The 20,474-nt window shown below is 46.7% G+C and overlaps 8 annotated features.

Annotated features, from left to right (window-relative positions):
• Window positions 3,137–3,737: an enhancer, noted in NCBI's record as "OCT4-NANOG-H3K27ac hESC enhancer chr5:159593698-159594298 (GRCh37/hg19 assembly coordinates)". NCBI's record gives its function as "activates a minimal SCP1, AML or CMV promoter by ChIP-STARR-seq in naive H9 embryonic stem cells {active_cell/tissue: H9 hESC(naive)}" and the evidence as "EXISTENCE:reporter gene assay evidence [ECO:0000049][PMID:30033119]".
• Window positions 4,392–4,686: an enhancer, noted in NCBI's record as "tiled region #721; HepG2 Activating DNase unmatched - State 4:PromP". NCBI's record gives its function as "activates a minimal TATA promoter and a strong SV40 promoter by Sharpr-MPRA in HepG2 cells {active_cell/tissue: HepG2}" and the evidence as "EXISTENCE:reporter gene assay evidence [ECO:0000049][PMID:27701403]".
• Window positions 4,392–4,686: a silencer, noted in NCBI's record as "tiled region #721; K562 Repressive non-DNase unmatched - State 21:Repr". NCBI's record gives its function as "represses a minimal TATA promoter and a strong SV40 promoter by Sharpr-MPRA in K562 cells {active_cell/tissue: K562}" and the evidence as "EXISTENCE:reporter gene assay evidence [ECO:0000049][PMID:27701403]".
• Window positions 4,939–5,538: an enhancer, noted in NCBI's record as "NANOG-H3K27ac-H3K4me1 hESC enhancer chr5:159591897-159592496 (GRCh37/hg19 assembly coordinates)". NCBI's record gives its function as "activates a minimal SCP1, AML or CMV promoter by ChIP-STARR-seq in primed H9 embryonic stem cells {active_cell/tissue: H9 hESC(primed)}" and the evidence as "EXISTENCE:reporter gene assay evidence [ECO:0000049][PMID:30033119]".
• Window positions 7,220–7,874: an enhancer, noted in NCBI's record as "H3K27ac hESC enhancer chr5:159589561-159590215 (GRCh37/hg19 assembly coordinates)". NCBI's record gives its function as "activates a minimal SCP1, AML or CMV promoter by ChIP-STARR-seq in naive H9 embryonic stem cells {active_cell/tissue: H9 hESC(naive)}" and the evidence as "EXISTENCE:reporter gene assay evidence [ECO:0000049][PMID:30033119]".
• Window positions 8,532–9,187: an enhancer, noted in NCBI's record as "H3K27ac-H3K4me1 hESC enhancer chr5:159588248-159588903 (GRCh37/hg19 assembly coordinates)". NCBI's record gives its function as "activates a minimal SCP1, AML or CMV promoter by ChIP-STARR-seq in naive H9 embryonic stem cells {active_cell/tissue: H9 hESC(naive)}" and the evidence as "EXISTENCE:reporter gene assay evidence [ECO:0000049][PMID:30033119]".
• Window positions 10,409–10,478: an enhancer, noted in NCBI's record as "active region_23557". NCBI's record gives its function as "activates an Ori minimal core promoter by ATAC-STARR-seq in GM12878 lymphoblastoid cells {active_cell/tissue: GM12878}" and the evidence as "EXISTENCE:reporter gene assay evidence [ECO:0000049][PMID:35858748]".
• Window positions 17,936–18,005: an enhancer, noted in NCBI's record as "active region_23556". NCBI's record gives its function as "activates an Ori minimal core promoter by ATAC-STARR-seq in GM12878 lymphoblastoid cells {active_cell/tissue: GM12878}" and the evidence as "EXISTENCE:reporter gene assay evidence [ECO:0000049][PMID:35858748]".

The raw sequence follows: 20,474 nt of genomic DNA, 5'->3' as shown, positions 1-20,474 counted from the left end.
ACTCCTGACCTCAGGTGATCCACCCGCCTGAGCCTCCCAAAGTGCTGGGATTACAGATGTAAGCCACCACGCCCGGCCACAATTCCTTTATCTTTTAAGTGGGAAGAATAGTAATACCTGCCACCCAGGCTTGTTGTGAAGGTTAATTAGACTAATAGCTTGCAAAGTGCTTAGACCAATGCCCGGAACATATTAATACCACAATATTAATACCAGGTTTCTCTTTTTTTCCTCATTTAATCCTCATGACTTCCCTTGGAGAAACAGGGGCCATTATTGTTTTGGTTTTATAGAAAAAAAAAAACAGAAGCCTGGAAAGATAAAGTGACCTTTTATAGGTCACACAGCTCTAGCGATGGAATTTAAACTAGGTCAGTCTGACTCCAGCTTATTCCTGCTCTACCGTGCAGTTGATTCCAATCACATTCAGTGGACACGCTGGGGACGTTGGTGGTGTGGCCACAGCTCCCATGCTGTCTGTCTGGTGGGCACTGGGTAGTTTGGCTTGCCTGTCACTGTATCCCTGACCCCTACCCCATTCCTGCCAATGGGAAGCCCACACAGCCAGCAGACCAGAAGGAAAAGAAGTGAAACTGTGTTCTGGGAGTAAAAACGGTGGTGATGAAGGGGGAATAAGATCATTTCCACCCTCCTCACTGTAGTGACAATTCTTTGAGCCCTTCGTATGTGGCAGATACTGTGCTCAGGGCTTTGCATGCCAAATGATTTAAGATTCTTATGACTACAAGTAAAGGAACCCCAACTAAATAAGGAAAACCCAACTAACGAACTGGCTCATAGAATTAGGAAGTCAGGAAGTGAATCTGGCTTCAAGCAATGCAAGATGATGTCTACATCATCTTCGTCATCTTGGCTGTATTTCCTTCTAAGAAGTGACTTCATCCACAGATAGACAGGCTCTCTCGGGATTTATATTCTCCCAGCTCAGTAACCCCAGGAAGAAGCAGTCCTTTCCCAAGGCAGGCTCTGGTTGGCTTTCTTGAGGCTTCAGCCCACCCCAGGGACCAATCACTGTTGCCAAAAAGGGGATCTCATGATTGGCTGGGCATGGTCTGTGCCCCTACCCTGTGCCCAGGAAGAGGCCAAGGCTCTGACTGAAAGTCTCAACAGAGTACATGGAATGAATAGCATGGATTCCCAAAGAAAGGAATGCTCCACAGACAAAAGAGTCAATGAGTGAATTTATGACTGTTTCACTATATATGCATTACTTCATGTAATCTGTACTATAATCTTCATTCTGCAGAGGAGGAGAGAGATACAGAGAAACTGTGTCAGAAGGTCACACTTGGCTGGGCGCAGTGGCTCACGCCTGTAATCCCAGCACTTTGGGAGGCTGAGGCAGGCGGATCACTTGAGGTCAGGAGTTCAAGATCAGCTTGACCAAAATGGCAAAACCCTGTCTCTACTAAAAATACAAAAATTAGCCAGGCATGGTGGCAGGCACCTACTTTCCCAGCTACTTGGGAGGCTGAGGCAGGAGAATCACTTGAACCCAGGAGGCGGAGGTTGCAGTGAGCCGAGATTGCGCCACTGCACTCCAGGCTGGGTAAGAGAGTGAGACCCCGTTTCAGAAAATAAATACATAAAATTTTAAAAAATTTTAAATTAAAAAAAAAAAGGGTCACACTCATGCCAGGCACAGTGGCTCATGCCTGTAATCCCAGTACTTTGGGAGGCCAGATTGCCTGAGGCCAGAAGTTCAAGACCAGCCTAGGCAACACAGCAAGACCTTGTCTCTACAAAATAAAGAAATCAGCTGGGCATGGCGGTGCATACCTGTAGTAACAGCTACATGGGACGCTGAGGCAGGAGGATTGCTTGAGCCCAGAAGTTCAAGGCTGCAGTGAGCTATGCTCACACCACTGCACTCCAGCCTCGGCAACAGAGTGAGACTGTGTCCTTCACCCCAACCCCCAGAAAAAAGCCAAAAGGGGAAAAAAAAAAAGGTCACACTCTCAATAATGGCCCAGCAAGGAGTGGAACCTGGGGTTGCCTGGCTCCACAAAGCACCTACTTTTACACATGGTCATTTACTGTCCTCATAGGCTCTGCAGAGCTGAAGGACATGCATGGGAAAAAGGGGTATCTAGGAGGAATTGGGGAGCGGGAGAAGAGAATGAAGATTTTTGCAAAGTATCGCTGGGCCCTGCCTTTAGTGGCCTACAGTAATTTCCAATAGGGAAAGGTCCAAGTGCCCACTGTGGGCATGGAGCTCACCAATACGTATGCTCAGAGGCTCTGCTGTACCCCTTGGCTTGGAACCCTGACTGGGGATCCACCAGCTTGTTTTCTACTCTTTGGACATGAGTCAGGCTTTGCCCGGGGCTCAGGTTTGGGACTGAGCTGTGTTGCTTGCTGTCTGTATGTTCTTACATGTAGGAAGCAGCCCTCATCAAAACCAGCTTGTCAAACAGCATGCCAGCCACCCTGTTCCCTAATAGGGAATCTCTACCCACACCAACTCTACCCCAGCTAATTCCTCTTACAAGCCACAGCCTCTCCCATCCCTTGGATTTGGCACCTCATATTGCTCCTTTGCTTGCCCGGAAAGCTCTTCTTCTACCCTCTCTCCTGCCTGACTCCTCATCCTGTGGAATTCAGCTCAAAGGTCACTTCTTTCATGAAGCACCTATGTCATGCCTACTGCCTCCCCCTGGTCTACAGGCTGCTTCTCGGTACTTACCTCTAATATAGCACTAATCACTTTCTGATGAAATTTTTTTTACTGGTCTGTTTTCCTCACCAAAATCTAAGATCTCTGAGGATAAGAACTTCATCTTTGAAAACAGTTGGTGTTCCATACATTTGCATTGAATTGACAGATGAATGAAGGACACTACTAGGACCCATGGCATTCTCTTTGCGGGTTTGTGCTCTAGAAATCAAGTTTCCCTAGGGTATATGCTGTTGTCAGAGGCATTCAAACCAGAGCGACTCCATCTTGAACAGGAGCTGAGTAAAATAATGCTGAGACCTACTGGGCTGCATTCCCAAAAAGTTAAGGCATCCTTAGTCACGCGTTGATGAGATAGGAGGTCGGCACAAGATACAGGTCATAAAAGACCTTGCTGATAAAACAGGTTGCAGTAAAGACACCGGCCAAAACTCAACAAAACCAAGATGGTCATGAAAGTGACCTCTGGTCATCCTCACCACTCATTATACACTAATTACAATGCAGTAGCATGCTAAAAGACACTCCCACCAGTGCCACGACAGTTTACAAATGCCACGGCAACATCAGGAAGTTACCCTATATGGTCTAAAAGAGGGGGAACCCTCAGCTCCGGAAATTGCCCACCCCTTTCCTGAAAAATCATGAATAATTCACCCCCTGTTTAGCATATAATCAAGCAATAAGTATCCTTAGTCCAGCAGCCCAAGCTGCTGCTCTGCCTATGGAGTAGCCGTTCTTTTATTCCTTTATTTCCTTAATAAACTTGCTTTCACTTTATGGACTCTCCCCAAACTCTTTGTTGTGTGAGGTCCAAGAACCCTCTCTTGAGTTCTGTATCAGGACCCCCTTTTCCGATAACACCGGGGGTGCTGACAGGGCAGAAATGCAGCCAGGATCCTTGAGATTTCATTGGCAAATCCCTCCAATTCCAAGCAATCAGGGTGGGTTTTAAAGGGCCCCAGGTTCTTTGCTGGCTTCTTTCTGCCTTGAAGAAAATGAAGTAGAATTTAGTTCTTAGGTAAATCATAGACTTGTGTAGAATGTTGGAGTCATGGAAGCTTAGATGAGCAGGTGGAGACGGGGCAGGGAAAAGTTTTCCTCTACCTTGTTAGGATAATGACTGGGGGCCTGCAAATTAAACTGACAAAAGACAGATTAGCATGAGAAGAGACGGATTTAATCATTTAATCTTATCCTTAAAGGAATTCACACAAAAATGTGACTCAGGAAGGCATTAGAATTGGGAGTTTATATACCATCTTAATAGAGGAAGGAAAAGGGAGAAGGGCACTTACAGGAACACGTGACTTTTAGGAAAGAGAGATGGGCCCTTAGGAGAATAGATGGGAGATATGATAATTTTGTGACAGTCTGTTTAGGTGTGGTGACTTCTAGCCTTCAGAGATAACAGTCAATCTTCCCTGATTGCTCTGGGAGGGGATTTATAATTGAGTTCTTTTGGGAGGCTCTACTTTTAGGCAGATCAAAGATTTCAGGAACTCAAATCCCTTCTGCTCATAATAATTTTTATGCCATGGCAGCATATTCTAGACCCCTTCACTGAAAAGTCCAGGGATTAGATACCAACTACATCATTTAAAGCTGGATCTAGGAGCTCAAACCATTTCATCAAGTCTCAGTTATTTTTCTGTCTCTTACACATGTCAATTAATCAATCTGTTGTCCTCTCCCTCCCTCTCTATGCTGTCTTTCTCTGTGATGGCTTCATTCTCTGGCAAGCTCCTCCCATGTCAGGACCAGATGGCCCCCAGCACCTCCAGATATGCATCAAGCCAATTGCTGTCAATTTTACTTTTCCCAAGAGTTCCAGCAAAATCCCTTGGATTGGGTTTCACTGGATCCAGCAGAAGAAGAAGTCTGCTGATTGGCCAGGCCGGGCACACATGCCCACCCTCAAGCTGGGAGGGTGGAAAAGCAAAGTCAGCCTCACCCAAACCGCATGGACTGAGTGGAGGCGGGGTGGTTTCCCGGAGGATAACTAGGGTGCTGCTAACAGAAGGAGCAGAGTGGATGCTCGGCAAGGGAAAACCACAGATGTCCTCTGTACAGAGTGACTCTACAGTGTAAGAAAAGCTGAATCACAGAGTCATGGGATCACAGAGTCTCAGGAGACCCCTTCAAAGTGGGCTCCTCCAGTTCTTTCTGTGGCAGCTGCTTGCCCGGTGCCTCAGGGAGCCCCATGCTGTCCCTGACTGATGCCTGAGTGCTGGGCAGCCTGGGGAATCGGGGCGAGGGTCCCCCTGGCATTCCCCCCTCCTTCCTCACTGCTCTTCTGCTGGAAGATTCTGGGTCACAGCTGCCCACCAGGCGCCTTGTTTATGCTCCTTCCCAGCGAGCTCTGGGTTCTGGCCATCTGCCAGGCTGGCTGCCAGCCACACTGACCACAGACTACATTCTCTCTCCCTGACACACAGGCCCAGTCGGAAGGACATCCGGGGCTCCTCCAGGGATAGCAGCAGGCCAGGGCACAGAGAGCGGTCCTCTTGGAGGCCGAGGCCTCAGGCCTCTTCTAGACTAGGATAGTGGTCTCCCCTCTCACCTTCCACCAGAGCCACAGCCACGCCTCTCCAGCAACACACTGGAGCATGCAGTTCAGATCTGCTCAGACACTCTTAAGGCTTGGGCCATTACGTTTCTCCCAAGTGAGAGCCAGCAGCAAGAGGAAAAGAAGGGTTAACCTAAACAGAGCCTTACTGAGTAGAAAGGCCAGACCTTCTTCCTCTCCCCGCAACTGGGTCTCAAAGAGATTCCCCAGTGACTCCTGCTATCCCTTCTTCTTTTCCTCCTTCCCTGTTCACTGCTCTCTCCATAGAACATTCCAGCAGAAAGACAGCTTTAAAAACACCTAATCTGGGATAGCTCAGTGGCTCACGTCTGTAATGCCAGCCTTTTGGGAGGCTGAGGTGGGCGGATCGCTTGAGCCCACAAGCTCAAGGTATGCCTGGGCAACATAGGGAGACCCTGCCTCTACAGATAATTTTTTAAAAAATTAGCCAGGCCAGGTGGCACAGACTTGTGGTCCCAGCTACTCAAGAAGCTGAGGCAGGAGGATCACCTGAGCCTGGGAGGTTGAGGCTACAGTAAGTCATTATCGCACTAGTGCACTCCAGCCTGAGTGACAGAGGAGACCCTGTCTCAAAAGAAAAGAAAAAAAAAAAAGCCCGGACACGGTGGCTTACACCTGTAATCCCAGCGCTTTGGGAGGCTGAGGTGGGTAGACCACGACGTCAGGAGATTAAGACCAGCCTGGCCAAGATGGTGAAACCCCATCTCTACTAAAAATGCAAAAAATTAGCCAGGCATGGTGGTAGGTGCCTGTAATACCAGGTACTCGGGAGACTGAGGCAGAGAATTGCTTGAACCCGGGAGGCAGAGGTTGCAGTGAGCCTAGATCTCGCCACTGCACTCCAGCCTGGGCTACAGATGGAGACTCTGTCTCAAAAACAAAACAAAACAACACAAACAAACAAAAAACCCACCTAATCTGGAGATGGCAGGCTGGCAGCTCACAGTCCAGAATACGTTGTACTTGGCCCTCCTACTTTTTAAGAAAAATTTGAGCCAAAGTTTTAATAATCGGGAAATTTCAAATAAAAATTGATGTGTTCAATTTCTCTAGAAAGTGTGTGAGATCTGCTAACATTGGGCATCCATGTCCACATGGCACCAATCAGCATATGCTGAGTGCCAGTTGCCCTAAAGACAGAGTGGGCATCCTACATGTTCCCCATAGACAGTCAGCAGGCCCCTCTTATTCCCCTCCACTGAGACCAAGTGCCAGTTGTCATTTTCCTTCACTCCTTTTTTTTTTTTTTTTTTGAGACTCAGTCTTGCTCTGTCACCCAGGCTGGAGTACAGTGGGGCAATCTCAGCCTGCTGCAACCTCGGCTTCCCAGGTTCAAGTGATTCTCTTGCCTCAGCCTCCTGAGTATCTGGGATTACAGGTACATGCCATCATGCCTGGCTAATTTTTGTATTTTTAATAGAGATGGGGTTTCACCATGTTGGCCAGGCTGGTCTCAAACTCCTGACCTTAAGTGATCCACCTGCCTTGGCCTCCCAAAGTGCTGGGATTACAGGTGTGAGCCACCACGCCCCGCCATCATTTTCCTTCACTCTTGCATTTTTTTTTTAATTACTTTAGATAGTCTGCCTCTACGGATTCATCAGAAATAGGAAACGAGACTGAGAGTGTGGCATGTTTCAAGGAAATCAGAAGAGAACCTACGTGTTTATAGAGGAAATGAATATTCCTAGACGTTTCTATTATTGGCATGACCCCAGTGTAAGCATTTGCATTTGTAACCCCAATCTCATCAACCGCCTGCTAGTTTGCAGTAGGACTCATCTAGGCCCAGAAAGGTATATCCAGTCCCTTGGCCAAGGCTGGGCTGAGTCAGAAAAAAGGGGATGTAAAGGGGGTTTGGGGTTCCCTCCATCCACACCTGCTCTCAGCATAAATGAAGACATCTTTTCAGAAGCAACATCACCGTCATCTCCATGCCTCTCACTTTAAGGGGGAAGTTAGCCAGGCTTGGTGGCACATGCCTGTAGTCCCAGCTACTCAGAAGGCTAAGATGAGAGGGTTGCCGGAGCCCAGAAGTTCGAGTCCTGCCTGGGCAACATAGTGAGATCCCATCTCTAAAAAAATTTTAAAAAGAGGGAGCCAGCCGGGCATGGCAGCTCACGCCTGTAATCCCAGCACGTTGGGAGACTGAGGTGGGTGAACCACCTGAGGTCAGGAGTTCAAGACCAGCCTGACCAATATGGTGAAACCCCGTCTCTACTAAAAATACAAAAATTAGCTGGGCATAGTGGTGTGTACCTGTAGTCTCAGCTACTTGGGAGGGTGAGACAGTAGAACTGCTTGAACGCAGGAGGCGGAGGTTGCAGTGAGCTGAGATGGTGCCACTGCACTCCAGCCTGGGCAACAGAGCAAGATTCTGTCTCAAAAAAAAAAAAAAAAAAAAAAAAAAAAAAAAAAAAGGGCTGGCACAGTGACTCACGCCTGTAATCCTAGCACTTTGGGAGGCTGAGGCGGGCAGATCATGAGGTCAGGAGTTCAACAGCAGCCTGGCCAACATGGTGAAACCCCATCTCTACAAAAATATGAAAATTAGCTGGGCGTCATGGCGGGTGTCTGTAATTCCAGCTACTTGGGAGGCTGAGGCAGGAAAATCGCTTCAACCCAGGAGACGGAGGTCGCAGTGAGCCAAGATCGTGCGACTGCACTCCAGCCTGGGCCACAGAGCGAGACCCTGTCTCAAAAAAAAAAAAAAAAAAAAGCCTTTGAGGAAAGAAGGGTGGGAAGGACCAAAGGCCATCATCTGAGGAACCGTCTAGGAGCTGGGAGCTGACCTGTTCTCAGGGCTCCAGGCTCACTGCAGCGATGCCGGGAAGCTGACTTCTCACCAGAGGGAAGAAGTTTCTGTTGAATCTTGTTGTTTGAATGGGCTGCCTGGAGAGACAGGAAGTTCCTGCTCTTGAAGACCATCAGGAAAGACACAAGACCACTGGGGAAGTTGTAGGAAGAGTTAAGATAGAGGGTCTGGGTTGAGCCGACGTTATTTTTTGGAGGATCTCTGATAAATATCAGAGGCTTTGGGAGCCCCCTAAAATTACAAAAAGTTACATGTCTTAGGAGAGCATTTATGACTTTTTTCAGATTCAAAGGGACACCTGAGCCTACAAAAAGGTTATCATCCTCAAAAAACAAAACATAGAACTACCATATGATCCAGCAACCCCACTGCTAGGTATGTGTTCAAAAGAAAGGAAATCAGTTTGTCCAGAGCTATCTGTACCCTTGTGTTTATCACAGCACTACACAATAGCCAAGATATGTAATCAACCTCAGTGTCTGATATGGTTTGGCTGTGTCCCACGTGAATCTCACCTTGAATTGTAACAATCCTCACGTGTCAAGGGGAGGGCCAGATAATTGAATCATGGGGCGGTTTCACCCATACTGTTCTCCTGGTAGTGAATAAGTCTTACGAGACCTAATTTTTTTTTGTTTGTTTGTTTTTGAGACGGAGTCTCACTCTGTCTCCCAGGCTGGAGTACAATGGCGCATTCAGCTCACTGCAACCTCCACCTCCTGGGTTCAAGCAATTCTCCTGTCTCAGCCTCCCGAGTAGCTGGGACTACAGGCGCCCACCACCACGCCTGGCTTATTTTTGTATTTTTAGTAGAGACAGGGTTTCACCATGTTGACCAGGCTAGTCTTGAACTCCTGACCTCTGGTGATCCACCTGCCTCGGCCTCCCAAAGTGCTGGGATTACAGGCGTGAGCCACAGCGACAGGCAGGAGTTGCCATTCTTTACTCCTTTACTTTCTTAATAAACTTGCTTTCAGACCGGGCACAATGGCTCACGCCTGTAATCCCAGCACTTTGGAAGGCTAAGGCGGGCAGATCACCTGAGGTCAGGATTTTGAGACCAGCCTGGCCAACATAGTGAAACCCTGTTTCTACTAAAACTACAAAAAAAAAAAAAAAAAAAAAAAATTAGCCAGGCCTGGTGGCAGGTGCCTGTAATCCCAGCTACTCGGGAGGGTGAGGCAGGAGAATAGCTCGAACCTAGGAGGCAGAGGCTGCAGTGAGCCAAGCGTGCCACTGCACTCCAGCCTGAGTGACAAGAGCCAGACTCTGTCTCAAAAAAAACCAAAAAACAACCAAAAAAAACTTGCTTTCACTTTACTCTATAGACTCTCCCCAAATTCTTTCTTGCATGAGGTTCAAGAAACTTCTCTGGTGGTCTGGATCAGGAGGACCCCTTTCTGGTAACAAAACCAAAAAGTACACACATAACCAACTTCAGTTAAAGACAAATGTCAAGAATACAATAACACCAGGTCGAACGAGAGAGAGTGAAGAGATGGGGCTGTCATGGGCAGGATTCTCTGAGGGGGTGCTGGCTGAGTTTCCCTCCTGCCAGCTGCCAGCGAACTTAAAACCCCACCATGGCCTTCATTCCTCAGAAGATCCCCAAGAGGAAGCTGTTTCATCCTTGTTTTACTGTGAGGGAATGAGGCTTCCGGAGGTTAAATAACTTACCCAGGCGCAGAGCTTGGAAGTGGCCTGCAGGGATTCGAACCACCACACCCCTTGCACTGCAGTCTGTTTACTTCTCTGACATTGTGTTGGCTCCATTGTGAAATGAGTGGGTTGGCCTAAGACTCCTAAAGGGTCCTTCCTCTAAAATCATATGTATAGAGAGTATACAAAGGAGATCTGTCGGCAACTGACACCTCGGAGAGCAGGTGTTCGGGCTATTTTCTCTCCCCACAAGGAATAAAATACTAATTATGACATGAAAACTGAGAGGGCCAGGCTTACTGATTTTCTACTGCTCATCAGGGGATTCAGAGAAAGCGTATCAGTGGTTTAGCAGCTGCAGAAACAGGTCGGTAGTTAAGATACCAAATGCAAATACCTCAGGCTCGGAAATTCCTGCCCTGTTGAAACAAAGGACAGGATCTCAGGCGGTTTGCTCGCAGGGCTCCCGCAGGTGGACCGTCCCAGCCAGGAGCTTAGTGTGTGTGGGAGCCTGCTTCTAGATGTTTATGGTCAGTGGGTTCACACTCACTCACAGGAGCATCCTCCTCTGACTCTGCAGCCAAATCTGAGTCCCACGTGGCCTTGGCTGTGAAGCTGCACCCCCGACTGAGACCACAGACCGCGTTTGCCAACTTGCTTGTTCTGGCCTCCGAGCTCTTGGATTCTCACTTTTTTGAACTACATCTAAGAAAAAGTGGTCATAATAAATATTTGGCTCCTAACTGACCTTATAAGATGATGCCATTTGCTAACTGACCTTATAAGATGACGCCATTTAATTTTTTTTAACTGTGGTAAAATATATGTAACATAAAATTTACTTTTTTTTTTTTTTGAGACAGAGCCTAGCTCTGTCACCACACTGGAGTACAGTGGCGCGATCTCAGCTTCAATGCAACCTCCATCTCTTGAGTTCAAGCAATTCTCCTGCCTCAGTCTCCCAAGTACCTGGGATCACAGGCACATGCCGCCATGCCCAGCTGATTTTTGTATTTTTAGTAGAGACGGGGTTTCACTATGTTGGCCAGGATGGTCTCTATCTCCTGGCCTCGTGATCCGCCCACCTCAGTCTCCCAAATTGCTGGGATTACAGGTGTGAGCCACCGTGCCCGGCCTTTTTTGTTTGTTTGTTTTTTGAGACAGAGTCTTGCTCTGTCGCCCAGGCTGGAGTGCAGTGGCACAATCTCGGCTCACCGCAAGCTCTGCCTCCCAGGTTCACGCCATTCTCCTGCCTCAGCCTACCGAGTACCTGGGACTACAGGCACCCACCACCACACCCAGCTAACTTTTTGTATTTTTAGTAGAGACGGGGTTTCACCATGTTAGCCAGGATGGTCTCGATCTCTTGACCTTGTGATCCGCCCGTCTCGGCCTCCCAAAGTGCTGGGATTACAGGCGTGAGCCACTGCGCCTGGCCTCAGAGGGGTCTTTTTAAAGTGCAAATCCAGAGGCTGGGAGTGGCGGCTCACGCCTGTAATCTCAGCACTTTGGGAGGCCAAGGTGGGTGGATCACATGAAGCCAGGAGTTTGAGACCAGCCTGAGCAACATGGCGAAACCCCGTCTCTACTAAAAATACAAAAATTAACTGGGCGTGGTGGCAGGCGCCTGTAATCCCAGCTACACAAGAGGCAGAGGCAGGAGAATGGCTTGAACCCGGGTGGCGGAAGTTGCAGTGAGCAGAGATCATGCCACTGCATTCCAGTCTAGGCAGCAGAGTGAGTGAGACTCCATCTCGAAAAATAAATAAATAAATGAAAAATAAAGTACAAATTCAGTCCTGCCGCTGGACTGATAAAAACTCTTCAGTGTCTTCCTGAGAGCCTCAAGAAAAAGTCTAGGCTGGCTTATAAATTCCTATGTGTTCCTGCTCATGTCTCCCTCTTCATGACAGTCAGACAGAAGACTCCCAATGCAGCCTTCATCCAGGGTTTCTCCACTTTGACACTATTGACATTTTGGGAGAAATCATTCTTTTTTTTTTTTCTTGAGCTGGAGTCTTGCTCTGTCTCCCAGGCTGCAGTGCAGTGGCGCAATCTCAGCTCACTGCAACCGCCGCCTCCCAGGTTGAAGCGATTCTCCTGCCTCAGCCTCCTGAATAGCTGGGATTACAGGCGTGTGCCACGACGCCTGGCTAATTTTTGTATTTTTAGTAGAGATGGGGTTTCGCCATGTTGGCCAGGTTGGTCTCGAACTCCTGACTTCAGGTGATCCGCCCGCCTCAGCCGGATTGTTGGGATTACAGGTGTGAGCCACCGCGCCAGGCCAAAATCATTCTTTGTTGTTGGTGCTGTCCTGTGCATCTCAGGATGTTCTTTGGCTTCTACCCACTAGATGCCAGTATCACCTCTCCCCAACCTCACCTCCAGTCATGATAACCAAAAGTTTCCAGCCACTACCAAGTGTCGCCTGGGGTACAAAATCAGCCTACACCCGCTCTCTGTCCTTGGTGGCTACAGGAGCATTTACTTACCTGGCAAAATCTCACAGTCTTCAGGTTTCTCTCCTAAATGGCCCCAACATGCTGTACCTGTGTTTTCCCCACTAGACTGTGAACATCCTGAGGACAAGGACCATGTCTAATTCATCTCGGTGTCCTCAGCAGCACGAGTCAGAAGCCACTTGTCAGAGTTTCTCTGCTTTGTGGGAGGAGAGGGTGGTATGAACAGGTGGAAGACAAGTCTCTTGGTGTACACATTTGCCGGCTGTGTCTGTTTACATTCCATTTATGCAGTTCCTGCTATATGTAAGCAAAAGGTACAAGTAGCATCTCAATTTAATTTTTGAAACCTTATGTGTTAGGGATTCTGATCCCATTTTACAGAGAAGAAGAAACCAAGGCATAAAGAGAAATGACTCGGCCAGGCACAGGGGCTCACACCTGTAATCCTAGCACTTTGGGAGGCCAAGGTGGGCAGATTGTCTGAGCTCAGGTGTTCGAGACCAGCATGGGCAACATGGTGAAACCCCATCTCTATTAAAATACAAAAAAAAAAAAAAATTAGCTGTGTATGGCGGTGTGCGCCTGTAGCCCCAGCTACTCGGGAGGCTGAGGCACGAGAATTGCTTGAACCCAGGAGGCAGAGGCTGCAGTAAGCTGAGATCATGCCACTACACTCCAGCCTGGTGACAGAGCGAGACTCCATCTCAAAAAAAAAAAAAAAAAAAAAAGAAAAGAAATGACTCACCCAAGATTCCATATAACCTGGAAGTAGCATGGCTGGTATTCAAACCCGGGATTCTCTGGTTCTAATGCCCCTGTTCCTATCAGTTTCATATTCTCCTCCTGTTGTGATTGTAAACCTAGAGGCTCAAATTCATCAGAATATCAGGGTTAGGTGGACCTTTAGAATTGCACCATTTCAGGCACATGCTGGTAGGTCCTAACCTCTGTGCTAACTCCAATCCATTGGTGGTAGCTGATGAGAACACTGTGTTGACAATAATTCTGAGGCTGATTAACACATGTACCATCATCAATTGGCAAACCCTGCCATGGCAGGGGTGTGTGTGGCGGAATGTAGGCTGTCAGCCATCCCAGAACTGGTCCAAACCCCTTACTTCATAAGTGGAGAAACCAAGGCCCAGAAAGCTGATGACCAAAACCTGTTACTGTCTTTTTTTTTTTTCTTTTTTTGAGACAGAGTGTCACACTGTTGCCCAGGCTGGAGTGCAGTAGCATGATCTTGGCTCACTGCAACCTCTGCCTCCCAGGTTCACGTGATTCTCCTGCCTCAGCCTCCCGAGTAGCTGGGACTACAGGTGCCCATCACCACACCTGGCTAATTTTTTGTATTTTTAGTAGAGATGGGGTTTCACTATGTTGGCCAGTGTGGTCTCGAACTCCTGACCTCGTGATCTGCCCACCTCAGCCTCCCAAAGTGCTGGGATTACAGGCGTGAGCCACCGTGCCCGGCTACTATCTGTCTTTTTAAATATTATAGCCATCTAGTGACTGTGAAGTGTTATCTCATTGTAGTTTTGATTTGCGTTTACCTGATTGCTAGTGATATTCAGCATCTTTTTGTAAGCTTCTTGGCGATTTGTCTATCTTCTTTGGACAAATGCCTACTCAATGTCTTTGTCCTTTTTTTAAAAAAAATTTTTTTCAGATGGGGTCTCACTATGTTGCCCAGGCTGGTCTCAAACTCCTGGGCCCAAGTGATACCTGCCTTGGCCTCCCAAAGTGCTGGGATTACAGGCATGTGGCCACTGCACTTGGCCTTCTTTGTCCATTTTTAAATTGGGTTGTCTTATTATTATTATTATTTTTTGAGACAGGGTCTCACTCTGTCATCCATGCTGGAGTGCAACGGCATGATCTTGGCTCTCTGCAACCTCCGCCTCCCAGGCTCAAGTGATCCTCGCACCTCAGCCTCCCGAGTTGCTGGGACTACAGGTGTGTGCCACCACACCCGGCTAATTCTTGGTAGTTTTGTAGAGATTGGGTTTCGCCATGTTGCCCAGGATGGTCTTGAACTCCTGAGCTCAAATGATCCACCTGCCTTGGCCTCCCAAAATACTGAGATTATAGATGTGAGCCATTGTGCCCTGCTGGGTTGTTTCATTATTATTGAGTTGCAGGTGTGTGTGTTTTTTTTTTTTTTTTTGAGACTGAGTTTCGGTCTTGTTGCCCAGGCTGGAGTGCAATGGCATGATCTCAGCTCTCTGCAACCTCTGCCTCCCAGGTTCAAGAAATTCTCCTGCCTCAGCCTCCTGAGTAGCTGGGATTACAGGCATGCGCCACCACATCAGGCTAATTTTGTATTTTTAGTAGAGACAGGGTTTCTCCATGTTGGTCAGGCTGGTCTCGAACTCCCGACCTCAGGTGATCCGCCCATCTCTGCCTCCCAAAGTGCTGGGATTATAGGCATGAGCCATCGTGCCTATCTGTAAGTGTTTTTATACATTCTAGATACAACTCCCTTATCAGATGTATAATTTGCAAAAGTTTTTCCCCATTCTGTGCGTTGTCTTCACTTTCAACACAGGCTTTAAAACCAGGATTGGGTTCAAATTCCAGTTCTTCTACTTCTCTGTGACCTTAGGCAAGTTATTTAACTTCTCTCACCTTCAATTCCTTATCTGGAAAACAGGCATAAAAATACCTATGTTACAGGCATGCTGTGAAGATAAAAACAGATAAACAGTGCAAACAAAGTGGTATGGCTAGATGCCATACAGGTGACAACCAGCATGGGTAAGTATAACATGGAACAATGAGTAAGTCAGAAAAGCAACAATGCATCAAACTCCCAAAGCCTTCTGGTGCAATAATTCCCAAACTTGTTTTGGGAATATCTAAGAGGGTCTCTAGCCACCTTAGAGGATTCTGTAAAAATCTCAGAGTTAATAGCAATTTATTTTAGGATCAAAACAAAACCTAATGCTGCATGTCATAAAACAGTTGGTTGCGCAAGATACTTCTGTGTGATAGGAATGAGTAATGAAGAGGGGGACAATGGTTAAAAATCAAGCAAATCAAATCAGACATCCAGCGGGCGCAGTGGCTCATGCCTGTAATTCCAGCACTTTGGGAGGCCGAGGCGGGCAGATCACTTGAGGTTAGGAGTTTGAGACCAGCCTGGCCAACATGGTGAAACCCCATCTCTACTGAAAATACAAAAATTGGCTGGGCGCAGTGGCTCACATCTGTAATCCCAGCACTTTGGGAGGCCGAGGCAGGTGGATTGTTTGAGATCAGGAGTTCGAGACCAGCCTGACCAACACAGTGAAACCCCGTCTCTAATAAAAATATAAAATTAGCCAGGTGTGGTGGCACACACACCTGTAATCCAACTACTCAGGAGGCTGAGGCAATAGAATCGCTTGAACCCAGGAGGCAGAGGTTGCATTGAGCTGAGAACGCACCACTGCACTTCTGCCTGGGTAACAGAGCAAGACTCTGTCTAAAAAAAAAAAAAATAGCCGGGAATGGTGGTGGGCACCTGTAATCCCAGCTACTCTAAAGGCTGAGGCAGGAGAATCTCTTGAACCTGGGAGGCAGAGGTTGCAGTGAGCCAAAATCATGCCATTCATTGCACTCCAGCCTGGGCAACAAGAGCAAAACTCCATCTCAAAAAAAAAAAAAAAAAAAAATGCACGGTGGCTCATGCCTGTAATCCCAGCACTTTGGGAGGCCGAGGTAGATGGATCAAGAGGTCAGGAGTTTGAGACCAGCCTGGCCAAGATGGTGAAACCCTGTCTCTACTAAAAATACAAAAATTAGCCAGGCACGGTGGTGAGCACCTGTAATCCCAACTACTCAGGAGGCAGAGGTTGCAGTGAGCCAAGATCGCACCACTGCACTCTAGCCTGGGAGACAGAGCAAGACTCCGTCTCAATAAAAAAAAAAAAAAAAAAAAAAAAATCAGACATCCACAAGCAAAAAATGAACCTCAACCTAAACCTTATACCTTATACACAAGTTAAATTGAAATGGATCATAGACTTACATGTAAAATGTAAAACTATAGAACTTTAAAAAAATAGGTGAAAATTCAGTATCTAGGGCTAGGCAAGGAGTTCTTACACTTGACACTAAAAAGCATGATTTCGCCGGGCTCAGTGGCTCATGCCTGTAATCCCAGCGCTTTGGGAGGCCGAGGTGGGCAGATCACCTGAGGTCAGACCAGCCTGGCCAACATGGTGATACCCTGTCTCTATTAAAAATACAAAAATTAGCTGGGCATGGTGGTGCATGCCTATAATCCCAGCTACTTGAGAGGCTGAGGCAGAAGAATCACTTGAACCCAGGAGGTGGAGGTTGCAGTGAGCCGAGTTGTTGCCACTGCACTCCAGCCTGGGTGACAAGAGCAAGACTCCATCTCAAAAAATCAATCAATAAATAAATACAAATAAAAAGCATGATTTATATAATAAAAACTTCATCAACTGAACTTTATTGAAACTTCAAACTTTTGTTCTGTGAAAGCCCCTGTGAAGACAATGACAAGACAAAGTACATGTTGGAGAAAATATTTGCAAGCCATATATCTGACAGAGGATTAATATCTAGAATATAGCAAAAACTCTCAAACTTGACCGGTTGTGGTGTGCTGTAATCCCAGCACTGTAGGAGGCCAAGGTAGGAGGACTGCTTGAACCCAGGAGTTCAAGACCAGCCTGGACAACACAGTGACAACCCATTTCTACAAAATATTTAAAATACAGCTGGGCATGGTGGTGCACATCTGTAGTTCCAGCTACTCCGGAGGCTGAGGTGGGAGGATTGCCTGAGCCCAGGAGTTGGAGGCTGCAGCAAGCCATAACTGTGCCACTGTACTTCAGCCTGGATGATAGAGTGAGACCCCACTCAACTCAACTCCAACAAACAAAGAACAAAAACAGAAAAACAAAAAACGCCTCAAACTCAATAGTTAAAAAAAAAAAAAAACAAACAATCTGGTTGGAACATGAAGCAAAAGTTCATCAAAGCGAATATATAAATGAGAAATAAGTATATTTTCACATTCAGTATTATTCACCGTTAGGGCAATGCAAATTAAAAACCACAATGGGTTATCACTTACATAAGTATCCGAATGACTAAAATAAAAAATAGTGACAACAACAAATGCTGGTGAGGATGCAGAGAAACTGGATCACTCATACATTGCTGATGGAAATATAAATGGTACAGACACTGTGAAGAACAATTGGGCAGATTCTTAAAAAACTAAACATGCAACTACCATACAATGCTGCAATTGCGCTCGTAGGCATTTATCCCAAGAAAATAAAACTTACAGTTACACAAAGCCTGTATAGAAGTGCATATAGCAGCCAGGCGCGGTGGCTCATGCCTGTAATCACAGTACTTTGGGAGGCTGAGGCAGGTAGATCACGAGGTCAAGAGATCGAGACCGTCCTGGCCAACATTGTGAAATCCCGTCTCTACTAAAAATACAGAATTAGCTGGGGGTGGTGGTGCGCGCCTGTAGTCCCAGCTGCTCAGAAGGCTGAGGCAGGAGAATCACTTGAACCCAGGAGGTGGAGGTTTCAGTGAGCCGAGATCATGCCACTGCACTCCAGCCAGGCAACAGAATGAGACTCTGTCTCAAAAAAAAAGAAAAAAAAGAAATGTGTATAGCAGCATGATTTGTAATAGCCAAAACTGGAATCAACCTACAGGTCTTTCAACAGGTGAACAGTCAAACAAATAGTGAAAGCTACATACCATGAAATAGTACTCAACAACAAAAAGGAAGGAAATACTGATATATGCAACCACTGAGAAGAATCTCCAGGGAATTAAGCTAAGTGAAAAAAGCCAATTCCCAAATAGTATTTACTGTATTGTTCCACTTACATAACATTTTGAAATGATAAAATTTTAGAAATGGAGGCAGATGAACAGTTGCCAGAGATTAGGGATGAAGAGGAGAGGCAGGAGTTAGGTTTGGTGTGGTTATGAAAGAGCAACATGGCTGGGTGTGGTGGCTCACGCCTATATTCCCAGCACTTTGGAAGGCTCAGGTGGGTGGATCACCTGAGGTCAGGAGTTCGAGACCAGTCTGGCCAACATGGTGAAACCCAGTCTCTACTAAAAATAAAAACATTGCCTGGGTGTGGTGGTATGTGCCTGAATCCCAGCTACTCGGGAGGCTGAGGCAGGAGAATCACTGGAACCTGGGAGGCAGAGGCTGCAGTGAGCCGAGATTGTGCCACTGCACTCCAGCCTGGGCAACAGAGTAAGACTCCACCTCAAAAAAAAAAAAGAAAGAGCAACACAAGGGATCCTTGTGTGGTCATGGAACTGTTCTGTTTCTTGACTGTGATGGTGGACACAGGAATCTATACAGGTGATAAAATTGTGTAGAATGAGTACACTCACACCACACATTCACACACAAAAATGAGTCCAGGTAAAACTGGCAAAAATTTCTTACAACTTAATGTGAAGTACAATCATCTGAACAAGAACTTCTGTTAAAAAAATTAAGTAAATCTGTTATAATGATCATGCTAGCCCCTACTCTTCAACCTTACAATACCTTTGCACTTAGACTGTGTATGAGGAGGCTGAAACTGGGAGAAGTAATTCACTTGCCTAAGGATACACATTAGTAAGCATCTGACTCCAAAATCACATTCCCCACCGGGCACGGTGGCTCACGCCTGTAATCCCAACACTTTGGGAGGCCAAGGCAGGCAGATTACATGATGTCAGGAGTTCAAGACCAGCCTGGCCAACATGGTGAAACTCCATCTCTACAAAAATACAAAAATTAGCCAGGCATGATGGTGTGTGCCTGCAATCCCAGCTACTCAGGAGGCTGAGGCAGGATAATCACTTGAACCTGGGAGGAGGAGTTTGCAGGTGAGCCAAGATGTGCCACTGCACTCCAGCACGGGCAAGAGAGCGAGTCTCCATCTCAAAAAAAACAAAACAAAACAAAACCAAAAAACCACATTCCCTCTGCTTCCTGCCAGGTGAGATCTTTTGTGGTGTCTCCTAACCCCTCTAAGGCCTATTCTGCCCAGCTGGCTCAAATTCCGTACTGCTAACTCTCTGTTTGTTCATATTAAATTAAATTAAATTAATTAATTAATTTATTTATTTTTTGAGATGGATTCTCACTCTGTCACCCAGGCTGGAGTACAATGGTGCAGTGGTGGCTCACTGCAACCACCACCTCCCAAGTTCAAGAGATTCTCCTGCCTCAGCCACCCAAGTAGCTGGGACTACAGGCGCATGCCACCACACCCAGCTAATTTTGCATATTTAGTAGAGACAGAGTTTCACCATGTTTGTCAGGCTGGTCGCGAGCTCCTGATCTTGTGATCTGCCTGCCTTGGCCTCCTAAAGTGTTGGTATTACAGGCGTATTACAGGTATTACAGGTATTACTGCGACCGACCTACTTTTTTTTTAATAGTAACTTCTGGAAAGTATTTGATTCCTGCAAACACTTGGCACGTGGCCTTGTCAAGGTAACAACTCTTGACATCTTTAGACTGGTTGCTGGTGGTGGTGATCTGAGGCAGGCGGATCACTTGAGCAAGTTTCCAGATTATTGTGTGAGCCCAGACCTGCCTGCCTTTGAACCTCAACTCCTCCCTCCCTCTCACTCTGTGCAGTTGCACCTGTCTTCTCTCAATCCTTCCTGCCAAACTCCTTCCCTCTGCAGGGCCTTTGCACGTGCTGTTCCTGCTGGCAGGAAAATATTTTCCCTCTGGTTTTGTTAACTCCTACCCATCCTTGAGGCCTCAGCTTAAATGTCATTTCCTTGGCAAGGGATCTTATATGGCTTCACAGTCCCCTGTAATTTTTCTTTATGTAGTGTTCACAATTATAGTTAAATAATTATGCATATGCAATTACTTGTTTATTGACTCCCTTCCTTGCTAGAGGGAAGGCTCCCTGAGGCCAGCGGCTGTGTCTCTATGCTTACCAAGTCATCCCCAGTGTTAGGCCCAGTGCCTACCACATAGAAGGAGCTCAATAAATATTTCCTGATTAAAATAATTCAGGGAAATGTTTGAACTAGGGGAGCTGAGGTTATGTAATGCATTGAAGAAAGAAGACTGTAGTTGTACTCAAGAACCTGAGAACTAGTATGAAAAGAGGGCTTACTTTTAACTCTATTCCCTAAACAGTGTGAATTGTTCATTATGTACATTTATTCATTGGGAAAAAGTTTTGAGTTTTTTTTGTTGTTGTTGTTTTTGTTTTTCTTTTTGTTTTTGGA

Source organism: Homo sapiens, chromosome 5 (genome assembly GCF_000001405.40).
Source record: "Homo sapiens chromosome 5, GRCh38.p14 Primary Assembly".
NCBI lineage: Eukaryota > Metazoa > Chordata > Mammalia > Primates > Hominidae > Homo > Homo sapiens.
The sequence above is the reverse complement of the archived record's forward strand: the minus strand, read 5'-3'. Positions and strand labels throughout refer to the sequence as shown.